At 44.4% G+C, this 15,824-nt stretch overlaps 1 protein-coding gene across 13 annotated transcripts in view, besides 3 other annotated features; it reads right to left on the bottom strand.

The window, feature by feature from the left end:
- RIPK1 (receptor interacting serine/threonine kinase 1) overlaps positions 1-15,824 on the bottom strand; it is a 51,221-nt gene that overhangs the window by 33,392 nt on the left and 2,005 nt on the right. For 5 of the 13 annotated variants that reach the window (XM_047419447.1, XM_047419448.1, NM_001354932.2 and 2 more), the window contains 3 exons: positions 4,809-5,032; positions 3,861-4,017; positions 680-817 (listed from right to left, as the gene is read on the bottom strand). In XM_047419447.1, the coding sequence (XP_047275403.1) occupies positions 680-817; positions 3,861-4,017; positions 4,809-4,972 (459 nt within the window). In that variant the 5' untranslated portion in view covers positions 4,973-5,032. Of the gene's footprint in view, positions 1-679; positions 818-3,860; positions 4,018-4,808; positions 5,033-7,993; positions 8,158-12,016; positions 12,740-12,939; positions 13,419-15,824 lie in introns of those variants that run through there. The other 8 variants (NM_001354933.2, NM_001354930.2, XM_006715237.4 and 5 more) reach the window with 6 other exon arrangements.
- Positions 3,467-4,441: an enhancer, noted in NCBI's record as "H3K27ac-H3K4me1 hESC enhancer chr6:3077589-3078563 (GRCh37/hg19 assembly coordinates)". NCBI's record gives its function as "activates a minimal SCP1, AML or CMV promoter by ChIP-STARR-seq in naive H9 embryonic stem cells {active_cell/tissue: H9 hESC(naive)}" and the evidence as "EXISTENCE:reporter gene assay evidence [ECO:0000049][PMID:30033119]".
- Positions 7,636-8,135: an enhancer, noted in NCBI's record as "H3K27ac hESC enhancer chr6:3073895-3074394 (GRCh37/hg19 assembly coordinates)". NCBI's record gives its function as "activates a minimal SCP1, AML or CMV promoter by ChIP-STARR-seq in naive H9 embryonic stem cells {active_cell/tissue: H9 hESC(naive)}" and the evidence as "EXISTENCE:reporter gene assay evidence [ECO:0000049][PMID:30033119]".
- Positions 12,644-13,433: a silencer, noted in NCBI's record as "silent region_16844". NCBI's record gives its function as "represses an Ori minimal core promoter by ATAC-STARR-seq in GM12878 lymphoblastoid cells {active_cell/tissue: GM12878}" and the evidence as "EXISTENCE:reporter gene assay evidence [ECO:0000049][PMID:35858748]".

Genomic DNA, 15,824 nt, shown 5'->3' with positions numbered 1-15,824 from the left:
CTCCACCTCCCCGGTTCAGGCGATTCTCCTGCCCCAGCCTCCCGAGTAGCTGGAATTACAGGCATGCACCACCACGCCCGGCTGATTTTGTATTTTCAGTAGAGATGGGGTTTCTCCATGTTGGTCAGGCTGGTCTCGAACTCCCGACCTCAGGTGATCCGCCCACCTCAGCCTCCCAAAGTGCTGAGATAACAGGCGTGGGCCACTGCACCCGGCCGCTGATCTCACTCTTAGGCCATATCTGAACTCTAAGGATTTTCCGCACACACCTTCACATTCCCCTGCATTTCCAGAGGAGGAGAGTCTTGGTGACACAGATTTCCTGGAGAACATTATGACACCAATGGCCCATTCCAGGATGAAAAGGGCAACCCTTGAATGTTTCTAAATGTTTCTAACAGAGGAAAAAACACAGTCTAGGAAAGAGGTCTTCTCATCTACCCCATTCAACTCCACTCCTCCCCCAAAAGATATGAGTTATCCTGACAGTTATCTCCTGATCCCATCAAGCCTGCAGCCTTCCTCTCAATCACCGGTAGAGCCTTTCGGCACCATCATCAACAGTTATAAGCTGAGCTAGGTCTTCCTTTAGCTTCTCCAATGTACGAGAATGGATTTACATTGGAGAATTAAAACTAAAATCACCCAACTTTCTGGAAGCCTACCGATGATGGTTTACCTTAATGTGGAAGTCATTATCAACAAGGATATTTTCAGGCTTCAGGTCCTTGTGTATCACGCCTTTTCCATGTAAGTAGCACATTCCTTCAATGATTTCCAAAATTATCCTTCCTTTTACAGAAAGCGGAGTACTCATCTAAAACAAGTGATATTAAGTCTATGAAATGGAAAGGTTATCAAATAGGCCAAAGCAACTGTTTCATGAAAGGGTGGTGGGATCTGAGCCTGAGGAGAAGGTTACCAGGTTTCCTTCCAGCAGGTGCACCACAGTACTGCTGTCACTGGGAAACAAGAAAGATTTCATTCGGGGGGGGGCAGAGGGTATTCGTGTTGTATTTTGTTAGTGTAAAAACAAAAATCCCACAATAATTTGGTAATGCATAAAATACTATAAAATTAAGCTCCTTGAGAACAAAAATATATATTATTTAGGACTGTATCTTTAGAACCTAGGATTGTACCTGGAATGCTTGTTGAATGAATGGATGAATAAATATACGAGCAAGCAGTTTCTGTGGGATACTCACACGACATCATACTAAGTTTACATTAAGGACATGAACAATGCCATGCAAATGTCGCGTGTAAAATAACATTAAGAGAAAAAAGAATACAAGGGAACATGTTCACACTGATTACAATCATAGAAAAATCTGAGATAAACATGATGTTAAAACTACGCTTAAGTGAATTAATATCTATTTGATGACCTGGTAGCAGATACTTCAGGCTTCTGTAGAGTCTCAGGTCACTGGTTCTTATAATTGTATTCTTGTTATGTGAGCATCAATACTAACAGAAACAATTCCAGTTTCTATTATAGTGGTTAAATTACAGTTTTGCTTAACAATAAAAAATCAGTATACAAACAAGATGTTTCCTAAAAATGTATATGTATTTTGGTCGTTGGTTAACAGGAAAAAAATTTTAATGATAGAAGTGAGATTCCCCCTCAAACCATATTTATGACATAACGTAGCAGAGCTACACTGTTAATAGCTTGATCACCACCATACAGAAAGTAGCAGAAAAGATGTTTTCTCTTCTTCCTTGGTATACCTTTGGACTTAGGAAAAACTTCTGAGTAAGCAAAGTTGGTCCCCCTCTCTCCTCTCTTTCTGCTTCTCTCTCAGGTCCTCCTGATGCCCTGACTGAGTCCAAACAGGTGCACCTGAACTTTCCCTCATCTTGCACAATGCCTCATGTCCCCAATGATTTCTCTCTCATCTCAGAAGCTAAGCAGGGTTGGGCCTGGTTAGTACTTGGATGGGAGACCAAAGACTTATTTCCCAATCAAAATGTTTACTTCAAACAGCTGATCTTCTCTAGTTCTGGGGTGGAGAGCAATCTGATCAAACTATAATACCATGCGTATAAGTGATCACCTCTTCTCCTTCCCAAGGGTATTTTTGTGAGATGTCTGTTGGCTTGGCAATTGTGGGGTGGGAGAAGAAAGTGGAAAAGTGGGAGTATTTGCCATAAAGGCAGCCATATCCCGCCACCCCTCCCCATACCCTGTGCAATCTATGCTCTAGCCAAACCCAGGAATTTACAGTTCCCCAAATTTGGCAGTCTCTACATGGTATTCTCTCTGCCTAGAACACTTGTTCTCTAATTCTCTGCTTCAAAACGTCTACATGTCCTTCACATTGGAAGCCTTTTCTGTCTATTCCAGGCTGAGTGGGTGCCTCTCATGTGTACTCCCTCAGCAATGAGTATGTCTATCAAAACACCATCAGCTGGGAACGGTGGCTCATGCCTGTAATCCCAGAACTTCGGGAGGCCAAGGCAGTCGGATCACGAGGTCAGGAGTTCGAGACCAGCCTGACCAACATGGTGAAAACTTGTCTCTACTAAAAATTAAAAAAATAGCCAGGCATGGTGGTAGGCGCCTGTAATCCCAGCTACTCAAGAGGCTGAGGCAGGAGAGTTGCTTGAACCAGGGAGGTGGAGGTTGCAGTGAGCCGAGATTGCACCATTGCACTCCAGCCTGGGCGACAGAGCGAGACTCCTCTAAAAAAAAAAATACCACCACACAGCTGGGTGCAGTGGCTCATGCCCATAGTCCCAGCTACTCAGGAGGCTGAGGTGAGAGGATCATTTAAGGCCAGGAGTTCAAGCCTGCAGTGCACTATGATTGTGCCACTGCACTCCAGCCTGGGCAACACAGTGAGACCTTGTTCTCTTACAAAAGAAAAAAAAAAAACCCCATCACACCATACCACTTATTTAGCTATCTGCCTCCTTTTACTCTCCTACGTCATATTAGCTATTGATTCATGAGCAACTAGCGCAAGGCCTTCATCTTAACAGGCACATAAGCTTTTAAAAATGTTTTCAAATCATTTGACTTTGGTAAACAATTTTTATTTTTGTTTTAAATCCTATCCAGTGTTGTTGCCAATAATTTCTATATTTAATTTAAAATAAAACTTTGTTGAATGGTATCAAAGTGCAACCACTAATATTCTATCTGCTCTCACGGTCATTTATAGTGTATATCCTTTCATTAATCCATATTTAATGTCATCCCATCATGCATATACTCTACATCAGATGATGTCTGCATCATGAAGACAGGGCTTGTCTCTGAACTGTAGATTGCAGAGCAGCGGACAGGTATGGTAAACAGCCAATCACATTCCTAAGACACAGACTATGGAGGACTGTCCACAGGATCGAGAGGATGAAGAGACCACTCTCAGGGCAGTAAAAGGCAAGGAAGATTTTCTCTTTTTTTCAGAGACAGGGTCTTGCTCTGTTCACATGCACCTTTTATTTTTTGTAGAGAGGGGATTTCACTGTGTTATCCAGGCTGGTCTTGAGCACCAAGGCTCAAGTGATCCTCCTGCCAAAAGTGCTGAGATTACAGAAGTGACCCACGGAGCCCAATCAAGGCATAGATGTTTTAAGGAGAAACTGACTTCAGGAAATCCAGCCTGTAATCCCAGCTACTTGAGAGGCTGAGGTGGGAGGATCACTTGAGACCAGGTGTTGGAGTTCAGCCTGGGCAACATAGCAAGACCTTGTCTCTATAAAAAAAGGAAAAGAAAATTCAAACTACCAAGCAATTTGCAAATTTGATGCTAACGAGCTGCAAACAAACACCCCAAGGGGAGCCATAACAGACAGCCAGGGCCCAAGCGCTGGGGATCCCCGTGCGGAGGGGCCCTCTCTACCTCGGCTTTCAGCACGTGCATCAGGTTGCCCTTCTCCATGTACTCCATCACCAGGGAGTACTTCCCTTCCTCTATGATGACGCCCAGGAGCTTCACCACCCGGCTGTGTCTCAGTCTGTTCATCATCTTCGCCTCCTCCAAGAGGGCCTCGTTGTGCCTGTGGGCAGGAAAGGTGCTATGCTGAGGCTGGCAGAGCCAGCGCCTCAAGAGCCTGGTGCACACCTCCAACACATCACTCCCACGTGCTGGGGTCATGCTTGGGTCTGTACCGATCTCTTCCAGGCACAGGCCAGAAGCGTTAGAAGGCAGAGCGGTTTCTCACTTCCTCACAGTACTCCTGCCCAGTAACTGGCAGTGCATGCTCCAAAAATGTAAATCAATGAAGGAATGAATGAATCAATGAATGAAAAGTACATGAACAGCAGCAAGGTAACCTGAAAAAAGACCGTGCTGGACAGAACGATTAAAAAAAAAAAAAACAGCCTCTCTCAAAACCACTCTGACAAAGGAGGGAGAGAGGTGAAACCACTCTACTGGTTGCTTTAAAGGGAAGGCTCTCAGAACCTCTCAGGAATGAACTGCCTTTTCATTTTTATACTTAGGGCTGGTCCTCACTGAAAATGTGAAGCGAGTGAATAGGTCTGTCTTCACCCATCCTCCTGTTTCCTTTTCATTGTCCCCCCACCACACTTATCTCTTTGTCTTTCTCTATTTCCTTCTTGTTCATGTCTCTTCTGTTACTTACCAGCTGTGAGAGTCCTTCACTACCCAGTCTCAGAGTCCACATCAGCGACAATAACAATCCGAAGAGCCATCGTCACCCTGACATCTTGGCAGGCTCCCTCTCACTCTACCCACCAACGGCTCCGCAGCAGCCAACGGCTCCACAACAGCCAACGTCCCCATCCCGCTCAGAACTTAGCCCACCCACCCCTGCTCCCTACTCACTCAATGCAGTTGGGCCCCTTGTACACTGTTTTCATGATCATGAGTCCCTGGGTTCTGTGGAAACACAGAGACACCTTCCCAAAGCCTCCGCTGTCCAGTTCTGCACTCTCCAGGAAGTCACTGGATTTCATCTTAATGACATTCAAGGACATGTCTGGTTGCATTCTGAAGCTCAAGAACGCCCAAAATGGTACCACTTTTTCCCCCCCCGGCAGAGCTGTACCCTGTAAAGAAAACAGAGAGAAAACCTCAGGGCAAGACTATATATATATATATATATATATATATGTTTTTTTTTTTCTCCTTTGGAGACAGGGTCTCACTTTGTCAGTCAGGCTGGAGTGCAGTGGCACAATCATAGCTCACTGGAGCCTCGACCTCCTGGGCTCAGGCAATCCTCCTCCCTCAGCCTCCTTGAGTAGCTGGGACCACAGGTGCACCCCACCGTGACCAGCTGATTTTTTAATTATTTGTAGAGATGGGGGGGCCGGGGGATCTCACTATGTTGCCCAGGCTGGTCTCAAACTCCTAAGATCAAGGGATCCTCCCACCTCAGCCTCCCAAAGTGCTGAGATTACAGGTGTGAGCCATTGTACCTGGCAGAAAAGATCATTTTTAAAAACTTTTGTTAACATTCCACCACATGCTTGGTGTGCCTTGGATTTCTGAGGATAGACTTACAGTCATCTGATGAGCTATTTTTCATATTTTTAAGAATCAGAGAAGACTATAATATTTATTCCCTCAGCCTTTTTATTTCTGGCAATATGGAGCATTAGAAAATTTTAAGAACCCTCCAGCTATAAAGGACACAAGTATGTTGGACAACATAATACAAACATTCATTGAAATGCATACCAAAACTCCGTGGAAAGGAAAAGAACTCTAGGGACAGAAACAGAGCACCGGAGGCAGGCAGTAGCTCACACAGGGGAGTGCCAACCTCGCCATCCAGAAGTCAAGGTTTAAAGCCCAGCTGAGGTCAAGGAATACAAGAAAAGAAGGTAGAATGAAGAATCCCCCCTTAACACGGCACTGCTCAATGTGCAACCCTTTGATGAAAGGATGAACTAGAAAAAAAGCAGCCCATGGCAAACAAACATATTTGTCTTGGACTGGGCACAAGGTATTAAAAAAAAAAAAAAAAAGTTTGTGCAAATTTATAACCTTGGGCCTGTCTTGAAATAGATACAGACTTTGAATTGAGAGGATCGCCTAAACTATGAACTTTTACACAGGAAGTGGTCACAGGCTGATGCCATCCTGAGGTTATAGGCTAAAGCAAACAACAACCTCAAGCCAGGCCAGACAGAATTCCTACAAATACAAATTTAACATGAGCTCCCTTTCCAAAATTATAAAACACAAAAGAAAAAATTCACTGTGAGACAGACCCTGCAGCTACAGCAAGCAGCACTAGTAAGCACCAAAGAACTTCAGTAAATTAACAACTGAAAGGCATTAGAAAATGAATAGGTTTAAGTAATTATGAACAAAAGAAGGAATCTGAAGAATATAAAAAGAACAATGCAAACTCTAAGAAGAAAATGTGAAAAAGGAGTAGAATTTGGAGAATGTCCATCAGGGCTGTGAAGTATACAGTGTCAGATCTCAAAGCACAGCTATTTGCTTCATCCTTCCTCCCTTCTTTTCTTCCATTCATTCATTTTCCCCAAACTGAAATATAGAATAAAAACCCATGGAGAACCACAAGGAGACACCACTACACAACTACCAGGATATCCAAAACTAAAAAGACTAATACACCAAACACTGGCAAACATGTGAAGCAACCAGACCTCTCAAACATCACTGGTGGGAGTATAAAATGGTACAAACACTTTGGGAAAAGGGCTGGCAAAAAGCTTCGTGGCAAAACAGAAACTCCATGCAAACCAACAGGACACGGACACACTGGTGTGTGCATGTGAATGTGCGTGTCTGTGTTTTGCTTTGAGAGTAAAAGGAGGGCTATGGATGTTTTGTATTCCAGAAATACCCACATCCCGGCTGGGCGCCGTGGCTCACGTCTGTAATCCCAGCACTTTGGGAGGCTGAGGCGGGCGGATCACGAGGTCAGGAGTTCAAGACCAGCCTGGCCAACATGGTGAAACCCCGTCTCTACTAAAAATACAAAAATCAGCCAGGCGTGGTGGCACGCGCCTCTAATCCCAGCTACTCAGGAGGCTGAGGCAGGAGAATTGCTTAAATTTGGGAGGCGGAGGTTGCAGTGAGCCGAGATCGCATGCCACTCACTGCACTCCAGCTTGGGCAACAAAGTGAGACTCTGTCTCAAAAAAATTAAAATAAAATAAAATAATAAATATCTACATCCAGATACAGACCATGAAAAATACTCTTTCTGGGGCATAAAATATTCATTGAAATTTCATAGGCATTTATTTTGTTTATAAAACCACAAACACCTGCACTATGACCCAGCAATTCCAATCCCAAGAGAAATGAAAACGTATGTTGGAAAACACTTGTAAAATGTTCATAGCAACTTTATTTATAATAGCTCCAAACTGGAAACAGCTGCCCATCAGTAAGAGAATGAGTGAACACACTGGTGTATGAACACGATGGGATACTACTCAGCAATAAAAATGAACTACTGATACACATGAATGAAAACCGCATGAACGAAATGCAAAAACGTGATAAGTGAAAGTCGCCTTATACAAAAGCATACATACTATGTAATTCTATTTATATGACGGTTCAGAAGTCAAAACCAATCTGTGTCAGAAAAAGAACACTGGCCGCCTGTGAGCACGGTGAGGCTGAGTGGGCAGGGGCATGAAGGAACTTTCTGGGGTGATGATAATGTTGTAGGATATCAACGGGGGCTAGGGTTGCAGGCATACGCATCTGCCCATACTCAGCAGATGTACTCCCAACAACAGCAGGTAAATTTTACATCAAAAGACAAACCTGTAAACATATTGAACTCTAGCTATGGTATGCATGCTGAAGTATTTCGAGATGTGTACTGATGTGTACTTGGAAATACATCAAAAAGTCAGACAATGACGGACAGATGACGGGAAAGGAGATGGAGAATTACACGATGAAGCAAGCGGTGTTAAGACGATAGTCGTGGTGGACGTAACCTTCAGACTTGGTGTTTTTCATAATAAAATGTTGGAGGGCAGGGAGTTAAAAAATGAAAAAAGAAATACCTTGGGGAGAGGGGACTCTGGAAACTCCTAGGCTGCCCATGGTGTTGCACAGTGGCCGGCTACAGGTGACCCGGGTAACCAGCCTTCTACACCTCATCTAAAGGCTGGGGCCAGCTCTGTCTAGCGGAGGAAGCTCATACAGCAGCACCTATGGGCCTTCTTTCCTAGGACATAAGACATTACCAAACAAGAGAAGTGCCTCAGGAAACAACTACATCGGTGGGACGTGGGCAGTGGGTGGAGGCGGGGGGCTGCCTAGATGAAGGCCTGAAGACTGAGGGGTGGGGTGAGGCACACGCGTGAGGTAAGAGACCAGGAGCCATAGCTCCGAGAGCACGGGCCCTCCACTATGAGCGTGAACTCTAGCTCTGTGACTCACCAACCTGTGACCTTGGGGCACTTACTTATGCCTCAGTTTCCTCATCTGCAAAGTGAAACAATAATGACCACCTCACAGAAGTGGTAAGGATTATGAGAAAAAAAAAGTATACGTTCATGTATGTATACGTATAAATATACATATATTTGTATATGTATATATGTAATATATAATATATGATATAAAAATGTATATGTGTGTATATATACACATATTTGTATGTGTGTATGCATATATTGTATATGTAGATATATAGCTATATTTGTCTATGTGTATATACGTATATGTATATATTTGTATATGCGTATATATGTACATATGTATATATTTGTGAAAACACGTTTGTTGCCTGCTTTATGTCTCTAGCTATGGTTGGCCCAGCCGCCCACATGTGTTTATCCACACGGGTGTTGTTTCCTTGGGCTTTGAGAATGCCAACATTCTCAGCTGGGATCACTCTGTCAGCAGGGCCCTACTGACCAATCCTAGTGAGAATGAGGTAGGAGCGGGTGGAGACAGAGGGCATAAAAGATAACATTGATTTTAGGCCTCCTTTTTCATTCACTACACATCACTGGAGCAGGCAGAACTGTGAAGCCTTCCCCATTCCATAAGGGTCATCCGCCCCACCCTCTTAGGCCATATTCTTCCAACTTCTTGCCTGGTTAGGTGTCAGAGAACTGTCATTTTGTCAAGGAAGCCATCCTAAGTCTTCCCATTAGACACTTCCATAGGTAAGACAGTACTGTAATTGAGAATTATTTCTCATGAAGTTCACAGAAGGCAGGAAACTTGTCTTGTGCACCATCTCCAGAGCCTAGCAGAACCCAACGTATGCCGGCCCATCATCAATTGAATAACTATTTTAAAAAGAGAACTATTTAATTGTCCAAAAAAATAAAAATAAAAATATTGTTAAATGAATTACGGCACACTCCTAACAGAATATTATATAGCCATTCAAAATTGTTTTTGACGAATAAATCTGTAAAAATTATATTCACATTTGTGTGTGTTTTATATATATATATATGTAAATAGATAAAGATATAAGTACAGATAAAAAAGACATAAAGACACCAAAATGTTAACAAGGATTGTATCTTGATGATAGGTTGATTTTTACTTTCTTCTTTACACTTTTACTATGTTTTCCAAATTTTCCACAATAGACATGAATTAAATGTAAAATTAAAATTATTTTTTTGAAAGGAATAATTCCTTGACTCAGTATTTCTTTACTCTGAGGGATCAAATCAGAGATGCTGATAAAGATTATGTGCAAAGCTGTTCCTGGTAGCATTACATAGAACAGCAAAAGTAGGTAAAACACTTAGCATGTACAGAGGAGAGAATCAGTTATGCCCATCAACACTGAAATATATCTAGCAGTTTGCAAAAGCGATGTTGTGAAAGAATGTTTAATAATATTTAAAAAAGGTCACAGACAGTAAAGAAACAGGCAGGAACTACAACATGCCCTGAAAAATGCCCTTTTGAGTAAAAGGTTTCTACTTTATGAGGAGTCCTATTTGGTATCTCTTCTTCAGTCTCAGCCACATCTCCTCAAATTTGTCAAGACCAACTAGGACCTGCAGGTGCTGCTGTGTGCGGTGGAGTTTGGGAAGGCCTCTAGTTGGGTCCACTGGACTTTGGGAGCTTAGCTCCTGACCCAAGTCAGTTCTCCTTACAGTCTTGCGGTTTGCTAGTTTAGTCTGTTAATCTTCTGCATCTTCTGCATGGTGTTCAGTGATTTCTTTTGTTTTTCCTATCCACCCCTCTTTTTTCCACATGAAAGATTCAACTTTATGAGCACTGAATATCTTAGGAAGGCCTTGTGAGTAGTTGAAGGATATACAAAAACAGTGAATTTAGGCAGCTTATATGGCCATACTGCATAACCATATTATTACAAAGCCATGACACAGAGTGACAAAGACATGCTGGCCTGTTATAGCAAATAATTTTAACTAATAATTACGTCCATTTGAAGGAATTTGTAAATGTTTTGCATAAATATTAATTCAGGGACTCAGGACAGTGAATTTGTTTCTATTGAAATTAATGTGAAATCTCAAGGAATTTCACGATTACCTTCTAAGGCAGGGTAAGTATACATATCAAAATATTCTAATTAACTTTTTCCCCATTTTTCTATGATGACCACACATAACAAGAGAATGGCAGAAAATGCTGGTTGCCCACCTGCCATTGCCCCCTTTCTTCCCACTAACAGAATTCTGATTTTGCTCAGCTATCCAAGTGACCAGAGGATTTCTCCAACTTCCTTGATTACAGCAGCCTGATGCTTTGCCTGGATAAACAAAAGCTCTGAGCAAGGAAGAGACTTAAGGACCAGCAAGAGACAAGAATTGAAACAGAGTTTAAACAAGCATCATAACCCCTGAAGCAAATTTTATCATGATTTCAATTTGCAAATAAAGAAACTAAGATTTGGAGCTAAGTGATTCACCTAAAGTGGTAGGATCCTGGAATGAAATATTTGTCCCTTCATTCAAACTTTCACTATTGGCTCACTAATACATGCTACTTCTCTAGATAGCAAATAATCTGTCTTCGGAAAAATCCAGATGCAAAGACCCACCCTTACAGCCTTACTCATCTATATTAAATAAATGTGCGACAGTCAGAAACACGGAGAAAGTACAGAATAAACTTTTTAAATACAGGAAGGTGAGGTGCAGGGGCTCATGCCTGTAATCCCAGCACTTTGGGAGGCCAAGGAGGGCAGATTGCCAAGAGTTTGAGACCAGATTGGCCAACGTGGTGAAGCCCTGTCTCTACTAAAAATACAAAAATTAGCCAGGCATGGTAGTGCATGCCTACAATCCCAGCTTCTTGGGAGGCTGAGGCAGGAGAACTGCTTGAACCCGGGAGGCGAAGGTTACATTAAGCCGCGATCGCGCCACTGCACTCCAGCCTGGGTGACAGAGCAAGACTCTGTCTCAAAAATAAAAATACACGGCTCATGTATTTTTGAAATATATGGTTCAAAATCAATGTTCTACAGATTAATACAGTCAACCTTTTTTGCCAGAATGTAATATCCAACTAAAGCATGGGAAATTAAGTATTTTCTTCAAATTCCCAGATCATATGGATGTTAACACGTTATAGATTAATAAGCACCAAAAAGTAAGCTGCCCAGTTTGAAAGAGGCTGTTTAAGAGCTTTTCTTAATACTCATTAATATTCACATTCCAGAAAGTACAACATATCTCTGAGGCTCAGTATAGTTCAGACAGAGGAAAATGAGTATTAAAAGTTATCATTTTTGCTATTTTATCAGTAATAATGATACACTCCAAATTTCATTTTAAACAAGCCTAGTCTTCACTTTTTGTGAATAGAAGAGCTGCAGTATTCCCCATTTCTTTATTTATTTTTTTTTTTGATACAGAGTCTCCCTCTGTCGCCCAGGATAGAGTGTAAGTGGCAATCTCGGCTCACTGCAACTACCGCCTCCTGGGTTCAAGCCATTCTCCTGCCTCAGCCTCCCGCGTAGCTGGGATTACAGGGACCCGCCACCACACCTGGCTAATTTTTGTATTTTTAGTAGAGACAGGGTTTTGCCATGTTGGCCAGGCTGGTCTCGAACTCCTGACCTCAGGTGATCCTCCCACCTCGGCCTCCGAAGTGCTCGGATTACAGGAGTGAGCCACCGTGCCCGACGCAGTATTCCACATTTCTAACAAGACAATTTCCTCTTGACTCAGTCCATCTTCCTAGCAGTCACAGAATGCAGATGAGTACTAAGACATTGCACATTTCAAAGTTCACTTCCTGCCTTGGCTTCTTCAAGTGTAAGTCAGGGAAGAATTAATCATTGGAACAGCCTCCTGCTTTGCCCAAAATAAAAAAGAGCTCTGATTAAGGGAGAGCCAAATGGTCAGCAAGAGAGAAAGAACTAACAACCCCAGACCTCCCCCTGCCCCCGCAACCCCCGCATCCCTGTGAGGCTTTGTCAAATGCTTAGGGAAGGAGGATGCAGCCTATCCTCTTCCCAACCCTCAAGAGGGTCCGCAGCACTTCACAAAAGCACCTGCCAGTGACAGAAGCCTGCTAGGGTTACCACATTCGTCCCCTCAGTCGTCTAAGATCACGCAGAAATGCTTTTGTTTTTGGAACCTGCTGCGGCCTCAAGCGCAACAGTAAAAGGCCCTTTCAAAGGGCTGGTAAGGGAAGAGCCCAAACTGTTTTTTCTTAATGATAGGGCACTAGGAGCCCACCTTCTCCACCAAAACAACATTAATGGCGTGTGGGACTGCCTATTCCACCCTCACGCGGTAACCGCGGCCCAAAGGCAGGTCTCCGCCCGCTACCAGTCCAGCGCCCCGACCTCTGGCACAGAGGCGGCCAGCGGACTCCGGATAAGCAGAGACACCTAGCGGAGCACCCCTGACTTCCGGGAGCGCCCGCGGCCCCGCCCACCGCCCGACTTCCGGTACCGGCGGGGCCCGCCCGCCGCGCGCACCCCGGGCAGAGTCCCTCTCCTTCCGGGAAGCCCGCGGCCGCCCCGGCCTCCACGCAAGCACCCGAGCGTTACTTTCGTTTCCGCGGCAAACGTCTGGAGGCCCGGGTGAGGGAAGAAGCGGCGGCGGAGGGTTGGGGATTACTCCGACGCCGCGGCAGCCTTGCCCGGGCGTGCTGGGGGAGGGCGCGCGAACCCCGACCAGGGGGGTCACCGGGACTGAGCCCGGCGGCCTCCGGAATGTTCCCCGCGCGGTGCCAGTCCGCTCACCGCGCCCTTCTCCGTGGCCGCGCCGTCCAGCCAAGTCCTGCCGCGCTCCGTCGGCCCCGCCCGGATGGCCGCGCTCTGGCGCCCCAGCTGTGGGTCCCCTGGAGTCGCCGCGCTCCGGCAGCTGGCCCGCCGTCCGCGTCGAGCGCGCCCGGCTGGAGGGCGTGGACTGTTCGCGCTGCCTCCTCCCCCTGCCCCGGCCCTTGCCGGGGAGGAGGACCGCGAGAGCGCCGCCCCGCCGCTCGTGGGACCTCGCGCCCGGGGTCTGAGTCCCGGAGCTCTCTTGCGGGCTAGAGGATCGCGGACTTTGTTTTCAAGCGAGTGGGGCGGCCTACGTAAAAGAGGAAACCGAAACCTCCGCGCGCACGAGAGGGAGAAGGGTCTGGAGGGAAGCACTGGGTGGATTACAGCGGGGGCGCTATCCGGAGGATTCAGAGCTCTGCGGGTTAGCATAGGCAAGTTAGCATTCCTCTACCTTCATCTGTAAAGTGGGGCTGTTGAGGAGGAAATGTGATTATTTTGCAGCCCTTTAAAATGGTAATTGTGAAGTCTCGAGCAAAGTTGGAACTGCATGCTATTCATGTATATTAAAAATCAAATAATAAAATTATATGCACATCAGGCCGGGCGCGGTTGTTCACGCCTGTAATCCCAGCACTTTGGGAAGCCAAGGCGGGCGGATCACTTGAGGTCAGCAGTTCGAGACCAGCCTGGCCAACATGGTGAAACCCCATCTCTACTAAAAAATACAAAAATCAACTGGGCGTGGTGGCGGGCACCAGCAATCCCAGCTACTCGGGAGGCTGAGGCAGGAGAATCCCTTGAACCTGGGAGGTGGAGATTGTAGTGAGCCGAGATCGCGCCACTGCACTCCAGCCTGGGTGACAAGAGCAAGATTCCGTCTCAAAAGGAAAAAAAAAAAAAGCACAACAGGATTACATACTGTGAAAAGATATGTATGTCAAGAGAACTAGCCACGTTCACAACACGAGCCACAGACTGGGAGAAAATATTTGCAAAAGACATATCTGATAAAGCACTGTGACCCAAAATATACCAAAAAAAACCCTCTTAAAATGCAACAATATGAAAATGTACAACTTGATTAAAGGCGGGCAAAAGCTCTGAACATACACCTCACCATATGTATATGCATATGAAAAGATGCTCAACATCATGTCATTAAAGAATTGCAATTTAAAAAAACAAATACTATTACACATTTATTAGAATGGCTAAAATTCAGAACACTGACAACAACAAATGTTGATGAGGATCTGGAGCACAAGGAACTCCCATACATTCCTAGTGGGAATGCCTAATGTTAGAGTCTGGAAGACATTTTGGCAATTTCTTAACCAAGCTCTTCTTACCATAAGATGAAGCAACTCCACACCTTGGTATTTACCCAAACGAGTTGAAAGCTTATGCCCATACAAACACCTGTACAAGAATGTCTATAGCAGCTTTATTCATAATTGCCAAAACTTGAGGGCATCCAAGATATCACTTAATGGGTGGACAGATAAGCTGTGGTACATCTATACAATGGAATATTAAGTGCTAAAAAGAAATGAGCTCTGAAGCCACAAAAAAAAAAAAAAAAAAAAAAATCCTGGAGCAATCCTAAATGTATAAATCTAAGTGAAAGAAGCCAATCTGAGAAGACTACATAATGCATGATTCCAACTATGTGACATTCTGGAAAAGGAAAAACTACGGAGATAGTAAAAAAGATCAGCGGCTGCCAGGGATTTGCAGGGAAGGAGGGATGGATAGGTGAGGCACAAGGGATTTTTAGGGCAGTGGAGTCTGACGTTACAGGGTTGGGTACATCTCTATACATTTGTCAAATGTATCTTGAATATACACAAAGAGCAAAACCTAACAAACTCCGGACTTTGGCTGATAATGTATATGTTTTATCCATATTGGTTCATTTTTGTAACCATGAATCTATGTTGGTTTATCAGGTGTGACAAATATTCCACAGTAATGCAGGATGTTGATGGTAGGGGAGGCTGTACAGTCCAGGATGTTTGTGGAAGGGGATATTTTCTTTCTGCTTAGTTTTGCTGTAAACCAAAACAGCTCTAAAACAAAGTCTATTCATTATTTTTTAAAAGATGTACACATATCAAAAAAGACGAAAGGCAGAGCTATTCACTCAGCAAAGCTTTCTATCTACTGTATGCCAAGCAGGTACTAGATACAAGAGCATCTGGTGATAGATACAAGAAATACAAAAAGGAATTCATTCCTTCAGTAAATATTTACTGAGCACCTGTTCTAGGCACTGAAGACTCGGTTGTGAATTAAACACAAAAAATCTCTATGTTCTGGCCGTGTGTAGTGGCTCACACCTGTAATCCTAGCACTTTGGGAGGCCAAGTCGGGCGGATTGCCTGAGCTCAGGGGTTCCGGACCAGCCTGGCAAACATGATGAAACCTCGTCTCTACTAAAAATACAAAAATTAGCTGGGCGTGGTGGTGCATGCCTGTAGACCCAGCTACTCAGGAGGCTGAGGCGGGAGAATTGCTTGAACCCAGAAGGCGGAGGTTGCAGTGAGCCAAGATTGCTCCAGCCTGGGTGACAGAGCCAGACTCCGTCTCAAAAAACAATAAAAAATAAAAAACTCCACGTTCCATTCGTGGAGCTTGCATTCTAATGGGGAAGACAAAAAGTTATTGCC

Source organism: Homo sapiens, chromosome 6, assembly GCF_000001405.40.
Source record: "Homo sapiens chromosome 6, GRCh38.p14 Primary Assembly".
NCBI lineage: Eukaryota > Metazoa > Chordata > Mammalia > Primates > Hominidae > Homo > Homo sapiens.
Note: the sequence above shows the minus strand (reverse complement) of the source record. Positions and strands in the feature narration are given on the sequence as shown.